This window comes from Homo sapiens, chromosome 15 (genome assembly GCF_000001405.40).
Source record: "Homo sapiens chromosome 15, GRCh38.p14 Primary Assembly".
Lineage (NCBI taxonomy): Eukaryota > Metazoa > Chordata > Mammalia > Primates > Hominidae > Homo > Homo sapiens.
The window spans coordinates 99,712,020-99,735,417 of record NC_000015.10 but is presented as its reverse complement, the minus strand read 5'-3'; the positions used below and the strand labels follow the sequence as shown (position 1 = coordinate 99,735,417).

Sequence of the window (23,398 nt, the reverse complement as noted above, 5' to 3'; positions counted from 1 at the left end):
TACCTACCAATAGGAGATATCTGTCTATCTATCTATATATCTATTTCTACCTATAGAGAGAGACACAAAGTGAGTGAGTGAGAGAGAGGAGATTAGACTTGGCTCACACAATTAAGGAGACTGAAAGTCCCGGGACAGGTGGGTCTGCAAGCTGGAGACCCTGGGATGCAGATAATATGGTTCAGTGCAGGTCCAAAAACATCAGAACCAGGGAAGCTGATGATGTCACTCTCATTCCAAGGCCAGAGTCTTGAGAACCCTGGGGGTTAGGGGAGGGTAAGTCCTGGAGTCCAGACCATTTTGGGCTTTGTCCACGAAGATTAACAATTTGACTTTTAGTTTAAGTGGGTGTATTAGTCCGTTTTCATCCTGCTGATAAACACATACCCGAGACTGGGCAAAAGAAAGAGGTTTAATGGACTCACAGTTCCACCTGGCTGGGGAGGCCTCACAATAATGGCTGAAGGTGAAAGGTGCATCTCACATGGCAGCAGATAGAAGAAAAGAACTTGTGCAGGGCAACTTCCCTTTATAAAACCATCAAATCTAGTGAGACTCATTCGCTATCTGGAGAACAGCACAGAAAACACCTGCTCCCATGATTCAATCACCTCCCACCAGGTCCCTCCCACAACAGGTGGAAACTGTGGGAGCTACAATTCAAGATGAGTTTTGGGTGTGGACACAGTCAAATCCTATTAGTGGGAAAAGGTTTGTGAGATCTTGTTTTAATGTTTGCTTTGTTGTTTAATCTGATTGCAAGTGAGGGTTAAAAACATTTTCAACCTGTTGACCATTTGCATTGTTTGCTGAATTATCTGCTCCTGTCTCTCTGAGGTCTCCCTCAGACCTGCTGAGGTCTTAGCATCTTTCCTATTCATATGAAGTCTCTCTCAGCGAAGGATTTTAATCCTTTGTTGTGTTCAGTTTATTTTCCCTAGGTTATCTGCTTTTTAATTTTGGTTTTCCTTTTTAAGTAGAAGCTCTGAACTTTGTGCCTTAGTGTGTGAGGTTTTTGTTTTTGTTTTTTTTTGAGATGGAGTCTCCCTCTGTTGCCCAGGCTGGAGTGCAGTGGCACGATCTCGGCTCACTGCAACCTCCGCCTCCGGGTTCAAGCAATCCTCTGTCTCAGCCTCCTGAGTAGCTGGGATTACAGGCGCCCGCCACCATGCCCGGCTAACTTTTTTATTTTTTTTTATTTTTATTTTTTTAGTAGAGACGGGGTTTCACCATCTTGGCCAGGCTGGTCTCGAACTCCTGACCTCGTGATCCACCAGCCTCGGCCTCCCAAAGTGCTGGGATTACGGGCGTGAGCCACCGCGCCCGGCCAGTGTGTGAGAATTCTTCCACCACTTTTCATCTTAAGAAATCCTCGGCCACCTGACATTTGATAAACACGACTTAAGTTTTCTTGGTCCCTGTTGTCCGCATCCATGTTTTACACTCGTGGATTTCTGTTTTCTTCTCGGGGTGGGGCAATGCCTCCCCTGGTGCGGCCCTCAAAGGCCCAGGAGCGCAGATCCCGCCGCAGAAAGACCCCTCGCCCATCTGCGCCCAGCCCTTCCCCGCAGGAGGGCTCAGGGGACCCCACGCTACTGGAATCCACCCCGAGTCACAGCTACAGATCATTACCCACAAGTGGGGTCAAAGGCCTCTTTACGGGCGAGAAAGCTGCGGCTCAGCAGAAAGCCAAGCACTTTGGGAGGGAGGAGCTGAGGTGCCTTATTACTCCGAACAGACGCGAAAACAAGCCAGGGCCCGCGCGGGTAGACCTGGTAGGCGGGTGGGCGGGGCGAGGGCCACTTCCGGGGTGTGGAACCCTGTCGAGCCCCGCCCCGAGCCCCGCCCCGAGCCCCGCCCCGGGCCCTGTGGTCCCGGGATGAGCTCTCCGCGCAGCCAGGCTCGCTCCAGTGCCCGCCCAGCGCTGACTTCATTGGCTGCCTCCCCAGTCCCGCCCCCAGGGGGGCCCTGCTGATGTTCGTAGCCAATCCGCAGGCGCGGTGGCAGCTGCGGGTCGCGGGTCGCGGGTCGCGAGTCGCCGGTCGCCGGTCGCGGCGGAGCCTGGGCGCTGAGGTACCGGGGCCTGGACGAGGGGGCCGCGGTCTGGCTAGGGAGCCGCGCGGGCTCATGGCGGTACGGCGACCTGGCCTCGCTCGAGGGTTCGCGGGCGGGCCGCCCCTCCCCGGGCTCCTAGGGGGACGCTCCAGCTGGAGGGGCGGTGACCGCGACTGTCGTGGGCTGGCCCCAGGTGGCTAGGGTTGGGGGTCAGAGGTCAGAGGTTCTGCCCTCTGGAATGTTAGGGCCCCGCCCGTGGAGCCGTGGAGCCCTGGGGCCGGGCCGCTCCCCATTTTCCTGTCAGCTCTTGTTGAGGTGCCCCATCTTTTCGCAGAAGGGACTTGGAGGGAAGCGGGCCTGGAGCTGCTGCCGCCGCCCCTGAGCTCGGACGCGAAGGCTGGCCCCGTCCCCGGGCTGCCGCCGTGGTCCTGCAGGTGACCCTCAACCCCCCGAGGACCGCCGGCCGCCTCCCGCCTCCGGGCAGGCTCAGGAGCGCGCGGAGCGGGGTGTGGGCCTGTGACCCTCGAAGGCGTGGGCGGGGAGTAGGGGGTCGAGCTGGGGCCGCAGGCTGTCCCCGTACGGGCTGCTCCCCTGTGGCTCCGAAGCCACCTTTTTCTGAAGTTGTCAGCCCGCGTGTTTGAGATTTCGTTTCTGGAATCTCACGCGAACAATCTGGAGAGAGGAACAGGGGTCTTGCGGCTTTGGCTGTTGACTCAAGGGGAAAATAAAAACCAGACAATGGGGATGTAATGAATGCAAAGTGACCCGTGAGCAAACTGGACGCTTTTCTCCGGCTGACAGGCATGAGTTCTCCCCGTAGCTTGCCCCACATACTGTGAGTTAAACTGTGTCAAAGTAAGAGCAGTTTAGCCCCACAGTTCTGAGCAAGAGTCCTTAGCGCTGACCTTCTTAGTGAAGATACTTTGCAATGTGTAAAATATTGAATACAAAATTATTGTGCAAAGCTTCTGAGTTGAAGATTCTGAGTGCGCGGAGGCTGGCGGCAGCCCTTACTTGCCATTGCAAGGATCTCAACTTACTACTCTGAGAGCAAAAGTAGTTGTTTCTTTACAGATGTGGGTTTAGGGGAGACAGCTATGGATGAGGAACAGGGGCGGGGTTCGTTTTCTGCACAAAACGTATGCGATTAGAAAAAACAAAGGGTTTTTATTCTGCCTATCTTCTTCCATCTCAGCCAGCATAAGCACATTCTTTTTTTTCTGTTGATGATGTATGCTGAGTATTTGCAGCGATTAGGAAAAGGAATACTCTCTAACAAGACACTTCTCTTTAAACGAGGCGGTGGAGGGATGATTATGTCTTCTGTGGAATTAACCCTCCGGCTTGATTTTCAGTGAAGAAAATGAGGCACGAGGAATTGTTAACCAAGACCTTCCAAGGCCCAGCTGTTGTGTGTGGGACTCCGACCAGCCACGTATACATGTTTAAGAATGGCAGTGGGGACTCGGGGGACTCTTCTGAAGAAGAGTCTCACCGTGTGGTTTTGCGGCCCCGGGGCAAGGAGCGCCACAAGAGCGGTGTCCACCAGCCTCCCCAGGCGGGAGCAGGTGACGTGGTGCTGCTGCAGCGGGAGCTGGCCCAGGAGGACAGCCTCAACAAGCTGGCGCTGCAGTATGGCTGCAAAGTAAGACACCCCTCAGGGGCCCTGCCCCGCTCCGTTTCAAGGAACACGGGGAACTCACTGCAGGGTGGGTGCCCTTGCCGCCCTTCTTAACCCTGCCAGGCCGTCAGGAGAGGCCTGCTGTAGCAGCCAAGGACTCCCCTATTTAGCCAGAATTGGAATGCAGGTGGGAGTACCTTTAGTTCCCAACCCTGGCCCCCAAAGAGGGAGGGTTAGCGCATTTCTTTCTCTGCAGGGAACTTCTCCTTTTCCTGTTTTCTCCACACTGAAATTCTGAAACCTTTTTTCTTCTTTCGAGCACATTTTATTTTAGACCTAATGGGGCTGGAGATACCAGGCAGAATTTAATTCCGGATTTCTATGGTATGCTTGCTTTTCTCGCTGCTCTTATTTTTCTGAACCTTTCTTGGTGGTAGCTTACTTGACTTTTGGTAAAGTTTTACCTTCTCTCGTTTAGAACTGCATGGTCTTTTGTATGCTGTGTATCTATATAACCCTGTTTTTCTCTAATTATGTTTTCAGCATTCAGAGTGATTAACAATGGCAAAGTAAGTAGGAAAGTATTTCTAGAATTGCTGCATTTTCTCCTAGATTGCAACTGTTTCACTTTGCTAACACTGTGCTACAGATTTGTATGGCCTTCTCTAGGGGTATATAAGCTACTTAATTTAAGAAATCTCTTTCTCCTACAAGTGTCTTATCTAACAAGGTCCAAATGTCTGAAACATGTTGTGTGGGGTGTTGCGGTCTTTCAGGGAAATAAACAGGTTGGTCTCCGGGGACACATAGTGGTCTTTAAATTGTACTGACAATTATATTTGGCTCCGATAAGCAGCTTCTGCAGGCATACTGTGTGGCTTACAGAACATGGGCTGAAAAATGAAGCCTGTCCTACAAAGACCGGAATAGATGGAGTAGGCTTCTTGGTATGGTGATGTCTAAATCCGTAAAGAATATATAAAGCCTTTGATAAGTGATCAGTTTTCCTATTTGAAGTAAATAAATTTGCTCTTAATTTATTGAAGGCAGAGACAGAAAGATCTCAAGGGTCTCATGCATTAGATTCAGGACATAGTGAATTAAAAATGTCCCCTACCCCAAATCAGTTACAATAACAGCAGTTGCTGAATAATAATGGAAATGATTGATTTGATTGAGATCTGTTGGCTGTATTCACTTTCTAGTTTAAGTGGACTTAAGTGTTAAAAGTTTGGAGTTCATCTCTGATGCTTTTGGAAAGTTTTCAAACATTAGTTTGAGGGAGGGGTTACCCTTTGACTTACATTCTCCCTGCTTCTTAAATCTTCGTGTTTGATTATGAGAGGAGTTTGTCATGAACTTTGTTACTTGATAAAACTCACAGCATTATTCCTTTTTCCTGACAGTTAAGTACAGTAACTGTAAGTCACTTTTATTTAATAAGTTTACATGCCCCACAGTGTTTCTGGGAAAGAAAATGCCGAGGGCATATCTGTCAACTTTATTACAGGTAAACTGGATTTTGAGTGTGTCTGCAGAGCTGGCTGAGGCTGTGTGTTTGGTGAATGCTAACATCTGGCAGCCACTGAGTTCTGGCATGAGGGGGAAGGCAGGCAGATGGGGGCACTATTGCCTCAAAAGTGAAAGGTGGAAAAGGCTGCAACATTCCTTTCAGTGCCATGGTGGTTTCGCCCAAAGCGATTTGTTGCAGTCACACTTTAAACAGTTTAAGAAAGATCTGTTTTTCAAAACTGATCTTAAATTGTTCAAACCTGTAAATCTTTAGGAATATCTGATTACTAAACTATATATTGAGGTTGAGTGAAAGCCAAAAAAACAAAATTTCAGCCTAAACTAACTTTGTGTACAGCTGCAGTTTTCCAGTCTTCATCAGATTCGTCAGTGAAGTGGGCTTGAATCATCACCCAGAAAGATTAAGAGCCACTTTTTGGAAAGTTATTTTTAAGGAGCTCCGCATATTTTATGATGTTTATCTTCGTGCCTTCCTAGGTTGCAGATATCAAGAAAGTCAACAACTTCATCAGAGAACAAGACTTATATGCTTTGAAATCTGTTAAGATTCCAGTGAGAAACCATGGGATCCTGATGGAGACCCACAAAGAACTGAAACCCCTTCTGAGCCCGTCTTCCGAGACCACAGTGACCGTGGAACTGCCAGAGGCAGACAGAGCAGGCGCGGGCACCGGTGCCCAGGCCGGCCAACTGATGGGCTTCTTTAAGGGGATTGACCAGGATATTGAGCGTGCAGTGCAGTCAGAAATCTTTCTACATGAAAGTTACTGCATGGACACCTCCCATCAGCCACTGCTCCCGGCACCTCCGAAGACGCCTATGGATGGTGCAGATTGTGGCATTCAGTGGTGGAATGCTGTTTTCATCATGCTGCTGATTGGTATTGTCTTGCCTGTCTTTTATTTGGTCTACTTTAAAATACAAGCTAGTGGTGAGACCCCTAATAGCTTGAACACAACTGTCATCCCCAATGGCTCGATGGCAATGGGTACAGTTCCAGGGCAAGCCCCCAGACTAGCAGTTGCAGTGCCAGCCGTCACTTCTGCAGACAGCCAGTTCAGTCAGACCACCCAAGCGGGGAGCTAAGCTTTGTTTTTAAAGACTAGGCCCAGCTTTAGCAATTGGCTGTTGATGTGCCTCAGCTGTCACTGGCGATGTCCTAGGGGTGCTGCATTTTGCTTCCGGGGAAGGATGGACACTTTTCAGAAGTCACTGCAGTATTCCCAATTGCACTGGCCCTGGGCATGGCCTTACCCAGTCTAAGCTGGCAGGATCTAAAACAGCAGCGACCTCGGCCCCTATCCAGAGAGGTGCAGCAAGAGAGCCATTTCCCTGTGACATTTAGTGGACTGGCCAGTTCATAGCAGCACTGTGAGGACCCCCAAGTTGGACGTGCTCGGAGGGAAAGATTTATGGCCTCTGTCGAGGGACCTGCAGCGTGAGAGCCAGTGGCATCTGCGCGGCTTGCCTGGCTCTTGCTGTATCCTCACTTCCTGTGGAGCGGGGATTGGCTCTGAGAAGGAGTGTTCTCTGTCTGCCTGGCAAAGGTGCTGTGGAATAGGCTTGGCATGCCACCCTGTTTTAGAGAGTGACAGTTACAGTTGTAACAAGCCTACTTCATATTGGCCCCCTCAGTTAGCCTTTTTGAGGCAATGCCATTTCTAGAGTTGAAAAAGCCCTGGACCCAAACTGCGGCACTGTTGAATAAAGGGCAGTCCTACTCCTGTCCTTTTAGAGTGGCTTAGTGTGACACACAGGCATCTCCCAGGCCAAGCACACACAGGCTGCGCCCAGTTCCGCAGGAGCCGTCCCACAGCGTGGCTCTCTGGATTCTCCCACTTGTCCTCCTTGGAAGGAGCTCTTGCTGGCCAGTGTTTGGAGGGGAGGATGAGTGCCTGTCACTGAGGCCTCACTATGGTTGGCGTCTGAAGCTGGGCGGTCGTCAGGCCTGTGCTGAGAGCCGCAGCCCCTGTGCACACCTAACACAGGGCGCTCCCCCTGCTGCTTCCCTGGCTCAGTTCTTCGGAGCTCCAGAGTGAGAAGGCCGCTTCGTCCTTTTTCTCTGGGTGATGCCCTTAGAATAACACTATATGCAATGTAACTCACAATGTTCCAGGACCAAAGACTTGATGGAGGGGCTAGAGGCGACCCTTGTTGTAAAAGGCGATCAGAACACCTGAGGGAGGAAGGGGCTTGCAGTTTTCCCAGCCCTTCTCGCTGCCAAGGCAGCAGTGGTGCTGTGGATGGGCTGGGGACTGCGGGACAGAGCCTGCTACTACTTGGGAGTTGGTGCTGCCCTGTGGCATGGAGGGGTGGGAGGGGCTGAGATGGCTGCTGGCCCGGCCTCCAAGAGTTCTGGACAGGAGGCAGACACTGCCCAGATGCTCGGTGGAGGGACAGTGATGGCCTTTGACTCATGAGGCCTGGAGAAAAGTATCAAAGGTCTCACCATGTAAGAGTGATTTCCGATTTCTCTCCTTTCAGTTGTGTGAAAAAACAGCTGGCCTGGGTTCCATTAGCAAATTAAATCATCTTCAATCTTAAATTAGAAACCAGAATGATCTTCAGGATAAAAAGAACTTCTGAATCTCTGCAATAGGAAATGTTTCGATCATGCAAGTGCTTTCCCAGCCAAATGTCTGTGCTCTCTGTGTCACTGAGGGCCACAGGTTCCTCTAACATCTGTCACTGTCACTTCACCAGGCAGGCCTTGGAGTTCCATGACAAAATCACTTTTGTCAGACAAAGAATGTATCCTTTACTTTTCTCAAATGGAATAAAATTATTTCTTCTGTGGAGGAAAATTGATTCCCCCTTTTTATTTAATTTTTTTTTGGAGACAGTCTCACTCCTTCCCCCAGGCTGGAGTGCAGTGGTGCGATCTGGGCTCACTGCAACCTCCACCTCCCGGGTTCAAGCGATTCTCCTGCCTCAGCCTCCTGAGTAGCTGGGATTGCTATCACACATCACCATGCCTGGCTGATTTTTGCATTTTTAGTAGAGATGGGGTTTAGCCATGTTGGCCAGGCTGATTTCGAACTCCTGACCTCAGATAATCTGCCCACCTCAGCCTCCCTAAGTGCTAGGATTACAGACGTGAGCCACTGCACCTGCCTCAACCTTTTAAAATTTGGGGATTGATAATTTAGCGTTAAAAGATGTGGGATGCTGCTGGAGAAGATGGAGGTGTCTGTCAGGAGTGAGGACTGTGCCTGTTCCCTGCACCTGGCCACCAACTTGGGGCTTGTACTGTGCCCGAGGTTACTCAGACAGGTGCAGGACAAAGTGGTGACCAGTGCTCTAGGGATGATTGATCACTGATTGATCTGTATACAGGCTTTAATATTGCTTTATTAGGTGTATATAAGAAATAACCACGATACTTCCTATTCCACATTTTGCTATGTTTTCAGTGTCTTTGGGGAGGGAATATTTTAGAGAAATAGGTTTGCTATCTAGTCTCCAGTCTTTTTGGTTGAACTATAGTGCTGAATGTTGAAGCCCAAGGAATCTCCATTGTCAAGCAAATGATGCTTTAATTTTACTCTGGAGAGACAAAGCTGCAGGGACTAGGCAGACACCTCAGGGTCACCCAGAACCGCCACTGCCCAGCAGAGGTGAGGAAGGTGTGGCCCGGCCTAGGAGCATGTTGGGAGGACAGTCAAGGCCCCGCCATGCAAGGCCTTCTGCGCTGCAGTAGGGGGAGTGTGGAGGGGAGGGGTGGGAGGAGATGTGCCTGAAGTCATGGAATTAAAAGCCACTTGGGGCCAGGCACAGTGGCTCATGCCTGTAGTCCCAGCACTTTGGAAGGCCGAGGCGGATGGATCACTTGAGGTTAGGAGTTCGAGACCAGCCTGGCCAATATGGTGGAATCCCCTCTCTACTAAAAATACAAAAATTAGCTGGGCCTGGTGATGTGGGCCTGTAGTCCTGGTTACTTGGGAGGCTGTGGCACGGGAATGGCTTGAGCCCAGGAGGCAGAGGTTGCAGTGAGCCGAGATCGGGCCGAGATCTGGGAGATAAAGCGAGACTCAGGCGGGAAAAAAAAAAAAAAAAAAAAAACCACTTGAGACAGCGGAAGCCTGGGCTCAGCTGTGGGAAAGGCCCAACGAGCCATGACCATTTCCTCTTTGGGGAAGACTGGGCTGCAGCCCCAGGAGCAACAACAATCATATAAGCCATGGTGCTTCCTGGATGCCACAGTGCTCTAAGAGCTTTATATGCTCACCCACTTTACCCTCACTACCTCCCTACGACGCAGGCACTTCTATCCCCAGTTTACAGATGGAAAAAGCAAGCTGCTTACGACCACACAGCTGGTAAATGGGGGTGTTTGGGAGCCTGTGCTCTTAATCCGTTTCTGCTCTGCCACCTGCTTGACAGTCCACTGTGGGCTTGGGGTAGGGCACCTGTGGCATGATCCAGGCTCACAGAACATGGGGGATGCTTAAGGTCTCCCAAGGCAGGACTTCAGGAGGGGACAGCAGAGAAAATTTCTACTGGCCCACTTGGGGTACTGGCCTCACAATAAGAAAAGTTAGATCCATTGCCTGAATCGCAGTAACTGTAGAATCAGCATTTACCTGCCCATTTTCTTGGTGGAGAATCAACTGGATTTAGCCTCTGAGCCAGTGAACCAGGCCCCTTGTGTTGGGGTGATCAGACCCAACACCAGGTTGTGGGGGCCACGAAGTCCAGCAGAGTCAAAGGATTGAGAAAAAGACAGTTTGAGAAGTAAAGTGGGACTAGGGGGCCATCGCGATCGTGGAGGCCGCAAAGGCTCCGAGCTTTGGGAACCCATGCTATTTATTGGTAATCCAACAAAGAAACAGGTGGTGAGAATGTGGAGGTCAAAAGGGCAGACACATGATCTATAGCTGTTATGGTTTAGCATTTACAAGGAACATGTTCTGCTACTTGAGATAATGGAAATACAATTGATCTAGGAGCCTAGGAGGGCTAGAAGTAAGGAGCCAGGAAGTCTAGACACATTCTAGAGGACATTATGTCGCACATGCAAGCACTGCCTCAGCTTTCTTCCCAACACCTTGCCTTTGAGTAACAGAGACCGTCAGGAAAGGAGCCTCCCTTACCTGCTTCCTTCCCGGCACTTAAGGCCTTGGGACAGGTCTTCCAAGCTTATTTCCAGAGACAGGTTATGGCTGGTCTCAGGCCAGGCGGGGGAACAGGGCTCGGAGAGTGTGGATAGCATCCAACTTGCCTGTTCTCCAAGTCTGGTGCAGTGGAGCTGCTGTGAGGAAGGGCAGCCTCCTTGCTCCTGCACCGCCAGTCACACCCCACTGCCCCTGGAAGGACCAGTGTGGTGATGAAGTGCAGCTCCAACCTGTGACCTGTACCCCTTCCCATGCCTGCTCAAAACTTGCACAGAGACTGCCACCACAGTGCCAGTGAGGAGGCAGGGAGTCCTTACCACACCTGGGGGAGACTTTCTCACACCTTTGGAAAACACTGGGTTGTTGTACATCACCATTTCACTATCCTGAATAAGGAACATGGGCTACTTTCCATCTATTCATCCATAACCTGCCAGAACACCAATTATATACCAAGAGGTGATGGGATAACATGACATGGCCCCTGTCCTCAAGGTGCTTATAACCTAATGGGATATGACCTATGCCAGGGCTGGGCGCAGTGGCTCACGCCTGTAATCCCAGCACTTTGGAAGGCTGAGGTGGGCAGATTGCTTGAGCCCAGGAGTTCGAGACCAGCCTAGGCTGAACATGGTGAAACCCCATCTGTAATGAAAAATTACAAAAATTAGCCAGGCACAGTAGCATGCGCCTGTAGTCCCGGCTACTTGGGAGGCTGAGGTGGGAGAATGGCTTGAGCCTGGGAGGTGGAGGTTACAGTGAGCTGAGATTGTGTTGCTGCACTCCAGCCTGGGCATCGGAGCCAAACCCTGTCTCAGGAGAAATAATGATAATTTTTAAAAAAGACCTATGCCAGAGTAGAGATACGGTAGAACACACGATGGCCCACAGAGGGAAATATATGACAAGTGGCTAATAAAACATCTGGAGGAGATGACATTTCCTTAGTCGACATCTGAAAGAAGGCTGGGATTTAGTAATATGGCAGTGGATGGTTCTTTTCAAAGAGGACTGTCCAGTGTGAGCGAAGGCCTAGAGGCTGGAAACGGGGGACTATGTAGACAGGGAACTATGAATAGTCTGGTGGCCTGGCGTGAAGGAAATGTAAACGGAGCTGTGGGAAAATGCTGCAGTACTAGTTTGAGGCTAGGTTCTAGGCAACGCTGAATTCCACATTTAAGTGATCTGGACATGATTTGATGGACAGTGGGAAGCTACGGAAAGTCTTGGAGCAATAGCGAGTTGATGAGCACTGAAGTGAAGAATGCTGGTCACAGTTTTGGAGAGGCTTGGTTGGAGGAGTGGAGACCTTAAGAGATGTCTCGATTTTTACTCATGGGATTTTAATTGATACAGGCGATGCATGACAGCATGGAGACATTGCTTCTTCCTGGTGTCATCGCAAGAAGCTTTACTACTTGTAATTCCCAAGAGAAGGGAGCACACCAGGCCCCACAGGGCCATAGGGATGCACCAGTGTTGGTCAGGAGGCAGAAGGGAGCCAGGGGCACGCTCAGGCCAGAGGCTTCGTCGTGTTTCTGGGGGAAAGGGAAGGCAGGGCAAGGCAAACAGGCTAGTCCTGGGAACAGCAGTCTCTCCTCAGTCAGCAAGGCCCACAAAGCCAGAGCATCAAGAATACAGAAGATAAGAAGCAGTTACCACAATAAGAAAGAGTTAATACAATTGGCCCTGTGATGAAGGGATGCTCAACAGACAAATGCAGAATCTAAGAAAGCCCAGAACAGGAGGCGGTGCAGAACTGGCTGTGTGATTCTGAGGGGCCTCGGTGTGGCTTTCTTCATATTTCTGTTTGGGGCTCATTGTTTCTTGGATCTGTGGGTTTGTATAGTTTCATCTAATTTGGACAAATTTTAGCCATTGTTTCTTTGAAAACTTTTTCCTCATTATTTCCCTCCAATTATATAGCTCATTTATATTTTATTCATTTTTTTATTGTCTCCTGTTTTATTTTGGATAGTTTCTATTGCTGTTTTCCTCTGTAGTATCTGTCTAATCTATAGTAATTCCATTCAGTGCGTCCTTTTTTTAAAAAAAAAACAAAACAAAACAGAGTCTTGCTCTGTCACCCAGGCTGGAGTGTACTGGCGTGATCTTGGCTCATTGCAACCTCCGCCTCCCAGGCTCAAGCGAATCTCCTGCCTCAGTTTTCCAAGCAGCTGGGATTACAGGCGTGCACCAGCATGCCTGGCTGATTTCTGTGTTTTAATAGAGACGGGTTTTTGTCATGTTGCGCAGGCTGGTCTCAAACTGACCTCAAGTGATCCGCCCGCCCCAGCCTCCCAAAGTGCTGGCATTAGAGGCATGAGCCGTTGGGCCTGGCCCAACGCATCTTTTACTACAGGTCTTTTTAATCTCTAAAGGTTCTGTTGGAGTCTTTTAAATATCTTCTATTTCATCATTGTGTTTGTATATTCTGACACATGGAGGATATTTGTAATAGCTGTTTCACATCCTTATCTGCTAATTCCGTCATTTATGTCATTCTGGGTCCATTTGTTGATCTCTCCCTCCATCTGCCTCCCATTATAGATTGTATGTTCTTGTTTTTCTACATGTGTGGTAATTTTTTGTTGGATGCTAGACATGGTGAATTTTATGTTGTTGGATGCTGGATTTTGTTGTCTTCCTTTAAATAGTTTGTGCTTTGTCCTGGGGCATGGTTACTTGGAATGAGTTCAGTCCTTCTGAGGCTCACTCTTCTGCTATGTTAGGGCAGGTGTAGAGCAGCATGTAGTGAGCACTCATTCGGCCCTGCTCCCGGGGCAAGGCCTTCTGAGGATTTTTTCAGTCCTGCTCCTGTGGTGATGCCTTTTTAAGATTCTCCGAATGCTGTGTGCTTTAGGAGGTCTCACCACCGAACACACACAGCATTAATAAACTAGGTAATAATCACCTCATAATCTATCTGGTGGGAACACAGATGATTCCTGGCCCTGGGTAAGCTCTGGGAATTGTCCCGCCTACTTTTTTCTGTTGGCTCTTTTCCTTGACTCTGCGGTTTTCTCACATGCATGTACAGGCCAGTACCCAGCCAAAGACTTGGGGGAATCTCTGTCCAGCTTCCCCCTCCCCAGTACTGTGCCCCCACAAATTCTAGATGCCTCAGACTCCCTGAACTCCAAACTCCATCTCCTCTACTTGGCAAGACCACCTGGCTCTGTCCTATGGTTTGCAAACCCTGCAGGCGGTGAGCTGGGGCACTCATCAGTTTCACCTGGTTTATTTCTGGTCTCTCAGAGATCACTGTCCTGCACTGCCCGTTGTCCAAGGCCTCATATTTTCTTGGATTCTTTAAAGTGAAAGAATACACCTGGTTGCTGTTATTCTAATATGGCCAGAAACAGAATATCATAGGCCAGGGTCAGGGGAGGGGCAGCCAAAATGGTGGCATGACGGGGCAAGACTGGTTCTGAGGCAGGGCCAGGGGAGCAGGCCTGTCAGTGGACTCTGATTTGTGAGCCTGGACTGGATCATGGGACAGGAAGCCAAAAGGGGCAGATTTTTCTTAGAAAGGCTTAGGAAGGAGTCCACTAAATTCCATGCACTGTGAAACAGCTGCTCTGGAGGTGTGTTGTTGACTTAGTTCAATCAACATGACTGCATTCCCCCTGTCAAGTGCCAGGCTCCCTGTTTCTGAGAGTCTTAGCTCAGCTGAGTAGTTAGAAAGGAAGGATAGCCCATGTACCAGTCATCCAGGCAGTGGCAGTGTCACCCTGGCTCCTTATGGGCACTTTGAGATCAGTGCTCCTCCCTCCTCCCTAAATCCTCCTGCTTCTTTGAAGCACGTATTGTCAGAACACAGTTCCTGCCCCATTTCCTTGTTGCATCATCTACAGATCTTCTGGTCGCTTCCTTTCCTCCACTGATGACTTTAGCACCTGTCTTCATCCTTGATACCCCTGCAGGTCAATGCTTCCCCATCTTTTTCAGGTTGTATCACATATAGAAAAGAATCAAATATGTCTAGCACCCCGAGGTAAACCAGAGGGGATCTCATGATCTTCACATGAACCTTAGTGTCTTAGACAAAGGGGGCAGTGGTAGTTTTGTTCTATTTTGGTTTGTTTTTGAAACGGGTGATAGAAAAGCATGCTTTTGTGCTGACAGGAAAGATCTAGGAGAGAGGGAGAAATTGATGCTGCCAGAAAGAGGGGACAGTTACAGAAGCGAAGACCTTGAGAAGGAGATGATGAGACCCAGGATGCAACACAGAAGGCTTGGACTTAGATAAGGGCACCAAGGTCCCTCGACAGTGCCTGGAGGGAAGATTCCTGGATATCACGTGAGAAGGTGAGGTCGGTCTCATCAGATTCCATCTATTTTCTCAATGGAAAATGTGAGAGGAAGTAACCAGCTGAGAAGAGAAGGAAGTGGTCTTGGAGGTGTGAAAGGAGAGGAGATGCAGTAAAATAGTTACGTCTCAAAGGGAGGAAGCCGGCATGCCAGGAAGCTGCAGCTGCATCTCTGGGCAGTGTTGAGAGCCATTTACAATTTACGGTCATGAGGAATGAAAACAGTCCAGAATTAGCCCCTTTACTCAGTGAAGTAAAGATGATCTTTCTAATAAATGGTACTGGGACAAGTTGAGAGCCTTGAAACTTGTGTATTTTTCTTTTTGTAGAGAGGAGGTCTTGCTGTGCTGCCCGGCTGGTCTCGAATTCCTGGGCTCAAGTGATCCTCCCACCTCAGCCTCCCAAAGTGCTGGGATTATGGATGTGAGCCACCACACCTGGCCATAGAGAGCCTTTGGTAAACACATAAAATTAGATCCACATACAAGAACAAACTCCAAATGCATCAGCAATCTAAAAGTAAAAGATGAAACCATACTAGAACAAGAGTACGTGGGTGACTTCCTCTCTAACCTTGGTGTACGGAAAATATTTCCAAATGTAACTCAAAATCTTTAAGCAATGAGATTGATAAATTTGACTCCATAAAAATAAAATTTTGCGTGACTAAAGTACCACAAAAAAGTTATTCATAGCACACACACCAAAGGGTCAATATCCCTAATATAAAAGTAACCCTTACAAGTTGGAGGATGAAAATAAAAAATCTAATAGAAAAATGAGAAAAAGAACAGAAATTCACACACTTGAAAGATATTAAAATGTTCTCAAACATATGAAAAAAATGCTCAATCTCACTCATAATAGAGAAAGGCAAATTACAACATTGAGATACACTTCTCAGACTGGTAAAAATAAAAAATAGGACTGCACTCTGTTGGCAAGGATGTCCTCCTACACCGCTGGAGGAAATGCAAATTGATACATCTCTGGAGGCAAATTTGGCGATACCTTGCAAAACTACAGGTGAACTCCCTCAGCAATCCCACTTCTAGGAATCTACCCTGAAGATACATCTTTAAAAATACAAATATACGCATGTGTAGGGCTATTCATTGACGACTGCAGAATATTGGGAACAGCCTAAATGCCTAGCACCATGGTACATCCACACCATGGATGAAAACGTCTATGAACTAATCACTCTATGGAGTGATTTCCAGCTAGACTATTAAGTGGAAAAAGCAAAGCTGCCTATTTGTGCAAGTACAGGAAGGCTTAAACCAGAAACTAAAGAGACTAGTTGTCTCTAGGGGCGGGTGAGAGAGGCGGGGATAGGAAGAGGCTAGCAGGGGTGAAGAGAGAATGCTTTTCTGAGCATCTTTTTGTATAGCTTAGAAACACAGTAATGTTTCAGATACTATTCATACACCCCTCAAAATAAATCATTAAAACCAACTAGGATGGGGAGGGTGCCGAAAGTGAAATAAAACACGAACAGATGAAGCTAACCATGTTACAAATAGTAAGATAACCACACTGAAGGGACTGGGAACTACAAGTAACTGGAAACCACTGTCTTGACTGGATAGTGTAAGGCCAAAGGCAAAAACCACAAAACCACATAAATGCTCTCATCTAGTCAGTCAATGTGTGTTCCCTACACGGGTATGGGCAGTTCTGAAAATAAGTGTACACTGGAACTGAACAATAAGTAAAAGGACTGTAGATAATAAGAGCTGGGTTCCCCACCACAGGAGAAAGAAGTTACAAATGAATCCAAAGCATTCGCGTAAACCATGGCTTTTGACATGTTTAGGTAATTAGGAATATGGATGGATGTGTGTGTGTGTGTGTGTGTGTGTGTGTGTGCGCATAACTACATGTATTTCCTTGTTGTGTCTGCAGAAAGAGTCCGAAAGAGGTGATACCCTGGTAACAATAAGCACATCTATTGCCCAGATCTGGTTTCCAAATACCATTCTCCAATAAAGGGAACCAGGAATAGTGGAAAAAGTGGTTGACCCAACACCACAAGATGAGTGTGGAGCACCTGTGGTGCCAGAAAGGACATGCTAAGGGTGTGGACAGACTCAGATTTCACATGGAAGGCCACCTGATCAAGCTCCTCATGGCCAAAGCTGGAACAAGTGGAGGAGCAAAATAATGACAGGATTATAGCCCACAGGAGAAATAAAATCCGAGTCCACAATGACATAATGAGTAACGAAATGAGAAGGGACAGCTGTTCCTCGCAGCAGAATTCCAATGAATAAATGTGGAAGAAAACAGGCAGCTACCACAGCTATAGACGCTGCACAATTAGTGGGTGAAAATATAACCCTGCAGTCTCAAGGTATCTCCCCCAATATATGTATCAATTACAAAGGGAGAGAAACTTTTTACATTGAAGAAACCCTGTAAAAACCACTGAACCAAGTGATCAAAGTCAGTATCGCCTGGAATAAGACACCAACATGGACCCCATGATGCATTAGGGACATACCATTTCTGTGGTTTTCCCGCCAAAATGCACAACTTCCTTCCAATCATCACATTAGACACATCCACACCGAGCGGTATTAGACAAAATAACCGATCAGTATTCAAAAGTGTCAAAGGTTATATAAGAAAAGCTGTAACAAGTGACAAAGGGAATGTGGGATCCTGGATTGGATCCTAGAACAGGCATGAGTGGAAAAAATGGGGAGATTCAAGTAAGGTATTTAGTTAAAAATGCTGTGTCAATATTAATTTCTGGGTTCTCGTACTTGTACTATGGTTATGTAAATGTTAGCATTAGGGAAAGCCCGCTGAGGGATATGTGGAAACCACATTATTTTCCCAACTTTTCTGTAAGTCAAAAGTGAGTTCAAAATGAAGTGTATACACTAAGAGTAAAAAAAGGGGGGACTGTGTAGTGAAACCAGTCAGTACAACTGCTTTCTTTCTTCCACAGCTGCGTTTGCTTTGGTTAGCTAGAAAGCAGGCCCATCATGCATCTGTAAGAAAGTGACTGGAGTGTAGGCCCTGGCGTCTAAGCCGAGTAAGATGCCCTGTCAATCTGGGTCCTCTGGGAAGCAAGACTGATGAAATGAGGAGCACCAAAGCTTTACACCCCAGCTATGTGCATTTGGGGCTGGGGCTGCCTGGGAAGAGCTCGTCCTCAGCCCAAAGCCTGCAACAGCTGGGATCAGGGCTTACCTCTCACAGACGGGGCTCAGCAACTTTCTGCGGGATGAGGACACAAGCCCACTTGACCTGGAACGTCTGAAACCTCCTGGCCCCGTGGAAGATGGGAAGAAACACTCCTCTTCCTCTCAGTTTTACAACCGAGTGGTCCTCGGGCTGCTTGTGAGCACCGGACGACCGACCGAGCAGGCTGCAGCCAATCAGCTGGCACAGGGCTCCGACTGAAAATCATCTTGGCTGGTGCCACAGAATCGGCCTGAAAACAGGATACTGCCTAGAGCAAGGCACCCAGGGGAGCCAAGCAGGAAAATGTAATGAATTGACTTTAAGTAGCTGCAGCTGTGATTAGAGTATTTTTAGCCACAGGACTCAACCAGCTTTCAAAACCTGCTAATAAGAGCCCCACCGTAGCCAGCGCAAAAATTTAGTTTTCAGTTTAACACCAGGAATCTGCTTAGCTAGGAGCTGGCTTAGAAGGCACATCAGGAGAGAACATCTTCTACTGAAAGTTGAAGATTTTTCATTTTCTAGCTGAATTATGACAAAGGGAGATGACCATTAAGTGCCTGCCAGCATACTGGGACGTACACCTAACACTCTGAAAACTCAATTCATGCCAGCACATCTGTCTTCTGCTGCATCTAGCTCAGCATCATGTATGTATTTTGGGCAAAACTAATCATTTCACACCCTAGACTTTAAAGAGACCCAGAATCTAATGATAGCTAACATACCCACCCCCTCTAACAGGCTTTGGCGTATTTCCTGTGAGAAGCAGTTACTGGAGGCCGAATGGATTCCACTCATCCACAGCACTGTGCATGCAACAGCCAGATTAGGCCCCGGTGGGACTGCGTGGCCCACTGCTTCCTATGGGCTCCAGGGCTGCCCAGCAGGGATGACCCGGGAGCCGACAAGGGGGAGGCCAGTGGGGGCGTTGGGACGGTTTCCTTGACCCTGTCTCAACCCAGAGAAAGAAGCCTGCAGGTGAAAAAGGTCTTCGTGAAAGGAATGAAAAAGGAGAGGGCTTTAGGGGAAGGGGCTGCCTGGTGGCAAAGCCAGCGCCTTGTGTCCCCAGGCAAACATGACAGAGTCTCGACGCACAGGAAGAGCCAGTCCGTCTTTACTGGAGTGAGTGCGGGAGACAAACAGTTTACAACAACCTTTAGCATTGTCTTCACCATTTGATAAAAAGTTCACTATTATATTTATTGTATAATGAAGAAAAACAACACATTCAGGGAAAAATTGAGATTAACTTATTTTTCTTAAAAGGTTCATCTCAAGGATGGCAACAAAGTCCAGCTTGTGCCGCCAAACGGTTTTACATGATCAAACCGTGTACAGCTTCTTGTGTGAACTGTTGACTACAAACATTTACCAAATACATAAATCTCTTTTAAAAAAGCCATTTTAAATATAGCAAAGCAGTGTCTTCTTGCACAGCAAAGTGAAGAAAGTTTCTACAGAGAAATAGAAGTTTTACATTTGTAAAATCTTTTTCACATTCTAATCATCTAGCTTAAGATCCAATGCCAGGAGTTTTCAGCTTCCTTATTTACTATGTATTTCTTGTGCGCATGATGGTTAATACAGAAATTATGTTGATGCATTACTAGTTATCCTTCTAGTTAAAGGAAAGGGTAAAACATGTATTGTTCTTGTAGAACAAACCCCTGATTTAGTCTATAACAAAATGGACATAATTGGGCTCAAAAGATGGAGTTTTGATTGGGACCACCTGTGTACACACAACAGTGACTTCCACTCGCGGTGGAGTGGCCATTAGAGTACTGAGGAAGGACAGCTGTTGGAAACTGTACTTTAACCAGTGCAATTTAAGCTTTTTTTGCTTTTGTTCTTTAGTAATAAAATACTTCTGGAGGGATAAAATTTTCTTGCAATGGTGTCTCATACAAAACACGAGTCTAAAAGGGTAAGAAAAGACGGTTCTAAAGCAACACCATTAGCGTCGTCCCCTCTCTAGGCTGGTTTCCACCCAGAGATGTGGATGTGGGTGTGTTCACACGTGGGCGTCTGGGTGAGAGATGTCTGTCAAGTCCATATGCTCCATGCCACACTGGACGTATGGGAAAAAGGTTAACAGTCAAATATTCAGTTCCTGAAATGGAATACATTGTTACTTGGTCAGTGTAATTTAAATACAAACTCCGAGCCTTGAGTAGTAGTATTTTAGAAAACAGTAGTTGTACTGATTATAAACCTGCATAGAAAGAAAGACTATTGAGATACAGTCAGAAAAGCCATCTCATAAGGCACACAAGAAAATAGACAGTAAATGTGAATGTGTTAACTCCTATTCCAATGTACAGCAGAAGTTCATGAACATGCATAAATAATAACGAAGGAATCACTTAACACTTTCAAAGCTATAAATGGTTTACAAAGTGGTAAGGATTATTTTGGAACTTCAGTGTTGGGAGACTGTCTTGTTTGGATTAGGTGTGGCCTTATGAAGAAATGTGCCTGTAAGTAGTTCAGTAAAGTAAGTACATTTTTAAAGAAAAATCCTTTCTGAATAAGAGCCTAATGTCTATACTGAAGAGAGGAGACAGCATGTCATCCTCCTTTTTTTGGCCTCTCTCAAAAGTTACTGCCCAAACTGCCATGAGAACAGAACCTCCAGTTTGCAGCCTGTGGTGCGCAGGTCTCTCCTGCACTGATCATACCTATGTGTCAGTCAGGAAATCTGGCTGATGACTTGTCACAAACAGCAGATGAGGAAAATGTCAAAAGGAACGTAATTTGGGGGGGGGGTGGGGGGGGGGGAACAAAATGTACATAGAAATTGTAGGTAGCTGCTCAATATCATTTAAAATATAAAATAGCAATTTTTAAACCCTTGAGTTTTTTAGGAAAAGGAGTATTTAAAAATCTACAATGAAAGATATACAGGACTTTGAATTTTGCTCATGGCACAAGCCCAGTAAGTGGATGAACTTGCTATCATCCATTAGTTGTCTTCCTGAAAGAATAAGGCCTTGTTCAAAATCCAAGCTGAGGGTGGCACTAATTCCAATTAGAATGGCAAGAGTCATGCCAAGGACCAGCACCCTAAGAGTGTTTCTCCCCGCATACCAAAGCATCACTGCAATGTGCAGAAGAGCTGATAACGGTAGGATTTTGTAACCAGCTGCATCGTTCTGTTTTCAGAGGGTCAAGGAAAAAAGATCCCTTTCCCCATGATTATTTTCCCCTAATCATTTACCACTTATAAAACCTTTGTGCTCATCTACTATTTTGCCATTTTCTCTAATATTAATTAAATTAGGTCAGCTTTTTCTACTACATTTTTTCCTCACAAAAGGCAAGTTTTAAATAATGCCTTACAAAATCTGTTACAACACATTTTATACTTATGCAGGATGAACTTAACACCAATTTTTTTTGCCACTTTGCTATTTATGTACACATACAAAATATATAATGATGCTCAACCCATACAGCACAAAGATTACAATGTAACATCACACATTCACCACCAGTGAGGGGAGAAACCCCTTTATACAATCCTCTGAAAAAACTGGGCTAATAATTAAAATCCAAAGTACAGTATATTTAACAAAATAGTAAATATTAAACAGTGAATACTTAATAAAGGACCTCGCCTTTTCCCCCCAGATTGGCGGCAATCCACAAAAATATACTTTTTAATCTGGTGACCATACAATACATAGGTACTTACATCAAAGGTGATAATATATTTAAGATGCTATATACACAAAGAGTTTGGCTCAACTTTTAATTTACATTTAGAATAAGTGTTCATGGCTTTTTTTTTCCAAGGTTCTGCTTGCAAGATATTTTTGTTTTCCCCTCTTAAAATAAAACTAAAGAGTTAAACCAAGATAAAGCTATTCTCTAAAAAAAAGTTACAACATATAGCTTTGGCTTATATAAATAATTCATAGCAGAATGTGTTCAAAAGTAGTGAATATAATTTTATATATAGTCATCAATTCATAAGGGTGTTTTCTTTCATATAAAATATACATGAGCTAAAATCAGTTTCTTTAATTTTTAAGATATGAATGTAAAAAGAAACTTCTGACATATTCCAATTATAACTTAATATATTAATTTTACTTTGTTAATGCTCTATATTTCTAGGCTAGTATTTTCTGAATATCTCATGCGTGTTTTCTATTCTCTTTCTTTATTAGCTAAAGATCACTTCTTGACCCAATACATTTTTGCACGTGCAAAACAGTTATGTGTGGGGCTTTTTTGTTTTGTTTGTTTTTAATATCAACAGCCCTTTCCCATGCACCCCTTTGCAACAGACACCCATGCCAGGTTGGAAAATATAAATGACATTTTATGTACAGTATTGCTTTCTTGGTTCCTGCTTTTCTACTGCTCTGTTCTACAAAGCATTTTCTCTTAAGTAACTACAGTCACTGCACAGTTAAATAAAACAAGTAGGGGGCCCTCTAGGTTTCTGCAAGCTAGTGTGGGAGAATTATATATGGGTACACGTTTCTCTGCAAAAACTGGTTATCTTTACGAAACAAGTAGTCCAAGGAAGTGCCAGACTTGTCTGTGCCTACAGGGTGCTTTGTCTGCCATGGGACACACATCTGCAGACCTACAAGGAGTTTGCAGGTAAGTGCCTGATTCTGTGTATGTAACACACACCCACACATACACACTCACACCCACATACATATATATGTAAAGGGATATATATATGTATGTACATATAAATATATTTAACTCATGTCCTTATTTACCGATTTAGATATGTAGGGCAGGTCACTGCAGTAACACAAAAGTACAAACATCAGCTTGGAAGCCTTAGGTCACCCACGCGTCCATCCTCATTCGCTTTACAGAAGGGCTTTCTCTGTCCTCAGTGTTTGGGGGTCGGCCAAGCACAATTGGAGAATGGAAGTCGCCCCGTGGATCCTCCCGATCACTGCCATCATAGGAGCTACTAGAGCTGCTCAGACTGTCCACAGGGGAGCGCCCCATTTCCTGTCGGGGCTGGGGCTGCGGGGGTTGTGGCTGGGGCTGCGGTGGTGGCGGCGGCTGCTGCTGCTGCTGCTGCTGCTGCTGCTGCTGGAAGCCCGATGGGGTCATACGATCCCGAGGAGGTGAAATCGGTTCGGACTTGATGCTGATGTTTTGGTTGGTATTAATGGATAAATTGGAACCCTGAGATAACTGCCCTCCAGCACTGAAGGAAAAAAAAGAGAGAGGTCAGATGGCTTGCAAGTACCTCTGCAAAACTGGGATGATACAGTAGAGACACTGCCTGATGGAAAAGGGCCCAGAGTCTGAAATCTTATCAGAGTTCCCCAAGACTGGTTTGGGTCGTTTCCTTCAGTGCTTGGCACAAAAGGAAATCCCATCTTCCTAGGAGGAAAGAAAACAGTACCGTTGAGCCCTTACGTTACTTGGTTCTGTTACCCACAACGTTGGTACTTTTGCAGCTAAAGTATACAAAACAATGTCAGTGTCTTAATGCTGTGCAGGGACCAGAAAGACAGAGGAACAGCAGCCTCATCTGCTCACCGCCTCTTCTTCCTCAGCATCTGCTCCCCATC

The 23,398-nt window shown here is 46.6% G+C and overlaps 2 protein-coding genes across 98 annotated transcripts in view, besides 7 other annotated features; one reads left to right on the top strand and one right to left on the bottom strand.

The window, feature by feature from the left end:
* Positions 1,652-2,381: a silencer, noted in NCBI's record as "silent region_6874". NCBI's record gives its function as "represses an Ori minimal core promoter by ATAC-STARR-seq in GM12878 lymphoblastoid cells {active_cell/tissue: GM12878}" and the evidence as "EXISTENCE:reporter gene assay evidence [ECO:0000049][PMID:35858748]".
* LYSMD4 (LysM domain containing 4) lies at positions 1,974-19,721 on the top strand. Of its 20 annotated transcripts, NM_152449.4 has the most exons (6): positions 1,981-2,073; positions 2,390-2,489; positions 3,411-3,700; positions 3,996-4,060; positions 4,220-4,245; positions 5,687-8,013. In NM_152449.4, the coding sequence occupies exons 3-6, from the start codon at positions 3,507-3,509 to the stop codon at positions 6,293-6,295; spliced, it is 894 nt and encodes a 297-aa protein (NP_689662.2). In that variant the 5' UTR covers positions 1,981-2,073; positions 2,390-2,489; positions 3,411-3,506; the 3' UTR covers positions 6,296-8,013. The 20 variants fall into 20 exon arrangements, 17 of the variants coding, with proteins under 17 accessions (XP_011519547.1, XP_047288123.1, NP_001271349.1 ...); NM_001284419.2 differs by lacking the exon at positions 2,390-2,489 and having other exon boundaries at positions 4,011-4,060; NM_001284422.2 differs by lacking the exon at positions 3,996-4,060.
* Positions 2,422-2,531: a silencer, noted in NCBI's record as "silent region_6873". NCBI's record gives its function as "represses an Ori minimal core promoter by ATAC-STARR-seq in GM12878 lymphoblastoid cells {active_cell/tissue: GM12878}" and the evidence as "EXISTENCE:reporter gene assay evidence [ECO:0000049][PMID:35858748]".
* Positions 8,488-8,988: an enhancer, noted in NCBI's record as "H3K4me1 hESC enhancer chr15:100266635-100267135 (GRCh37/hg19 assembly coordinates)". NCBI's record gives its function as "activates a minimal SCP1, AML or CMV promoter by ChIP-STARR-seq in primed H9 embryonic stem cells {active_cell/tissue: H9 hESC(primed)}" and the evidence as "EXISTENCE:reporter gene assay evidence [ECO:0000049][PMID:30033119]".
* Positions 8,989-9,489: an enhancer, noted in NCBI's record as "H3K4me1 hESC enhancer chr15:100266134-100266634 (GRCh37/hg19 assembly coordinates)". NCBI's record gives its function as "activates a minimal SCP1, AML or CMV promoter by ChIP-STARR-seq in naive and primed H9 embryonic stem cells {active_cell/tissue: H9 hESC(naive and primed)}" and the evidence as "EXISTENCE:reporter gene assay evidence [ECO:0000049][PMID:30033119]".
* Positions 15,769-15,818: an enhancer, noted in NCBI's record as "active region_10163". NCBI's record gives its function as "activates an Ori minimal core promoter by ATAC-STARR-seq in GM12878 lymphoblastoid cells {active_cell/tissue: GM12878}" and the evidence as "EXISTENCE:reporter gene assay evidence [ECO:0000049][PMID:35858748]".
* Positions 15,839-15,888: an enhancer, noted in NCBI's record as "active region_10162". NCBI's record gives its function as "activates an Ori minimal core promoter by ATAC-STARR-seq in GM12878 lymphoblastoid cells {active_cell/tissue: GM12878}" and the evidence as "EXISTENCE:reporter gene assay evidence [ECO:0000049][PMID:35858748]".
* Positions 17,500-17,609: a silencer, noted in NCBI's record as "silent region_6872". NCBI's record gives its function as "represses an Ori minimal core promoter by ATAC-STARR-seq in GM12878 lymphoblastoid cells {active_cell/tissue: GM12878}" and the evidence as "EXISTENCE:reporter gene assay evidence [ECO:0000049][PMID:35858748]".
* Positions 18,930-23,398, bottom strand: part of MEF2A (myocyte enhancer factor 2A) — a 151,072-nt gene continuing 146,603 nt past the window's right edge. For all 78 annotated transcript variants that reach the window (NM_001400049.1, NM_001400057.1, NM_001400064.1 and 75 more), the window contains one exon: positions 18,930-23,028. In NM_001400049.1, coding sequence (NP_001386978.1) covers positions 22,647-23,028 — 382 coding nt within the window. In that variant the 3' untranslated portion in view covers positions 18,930-22,646. The remainder of the gene's footprint in view (positions 23,029-23,398) is intronic.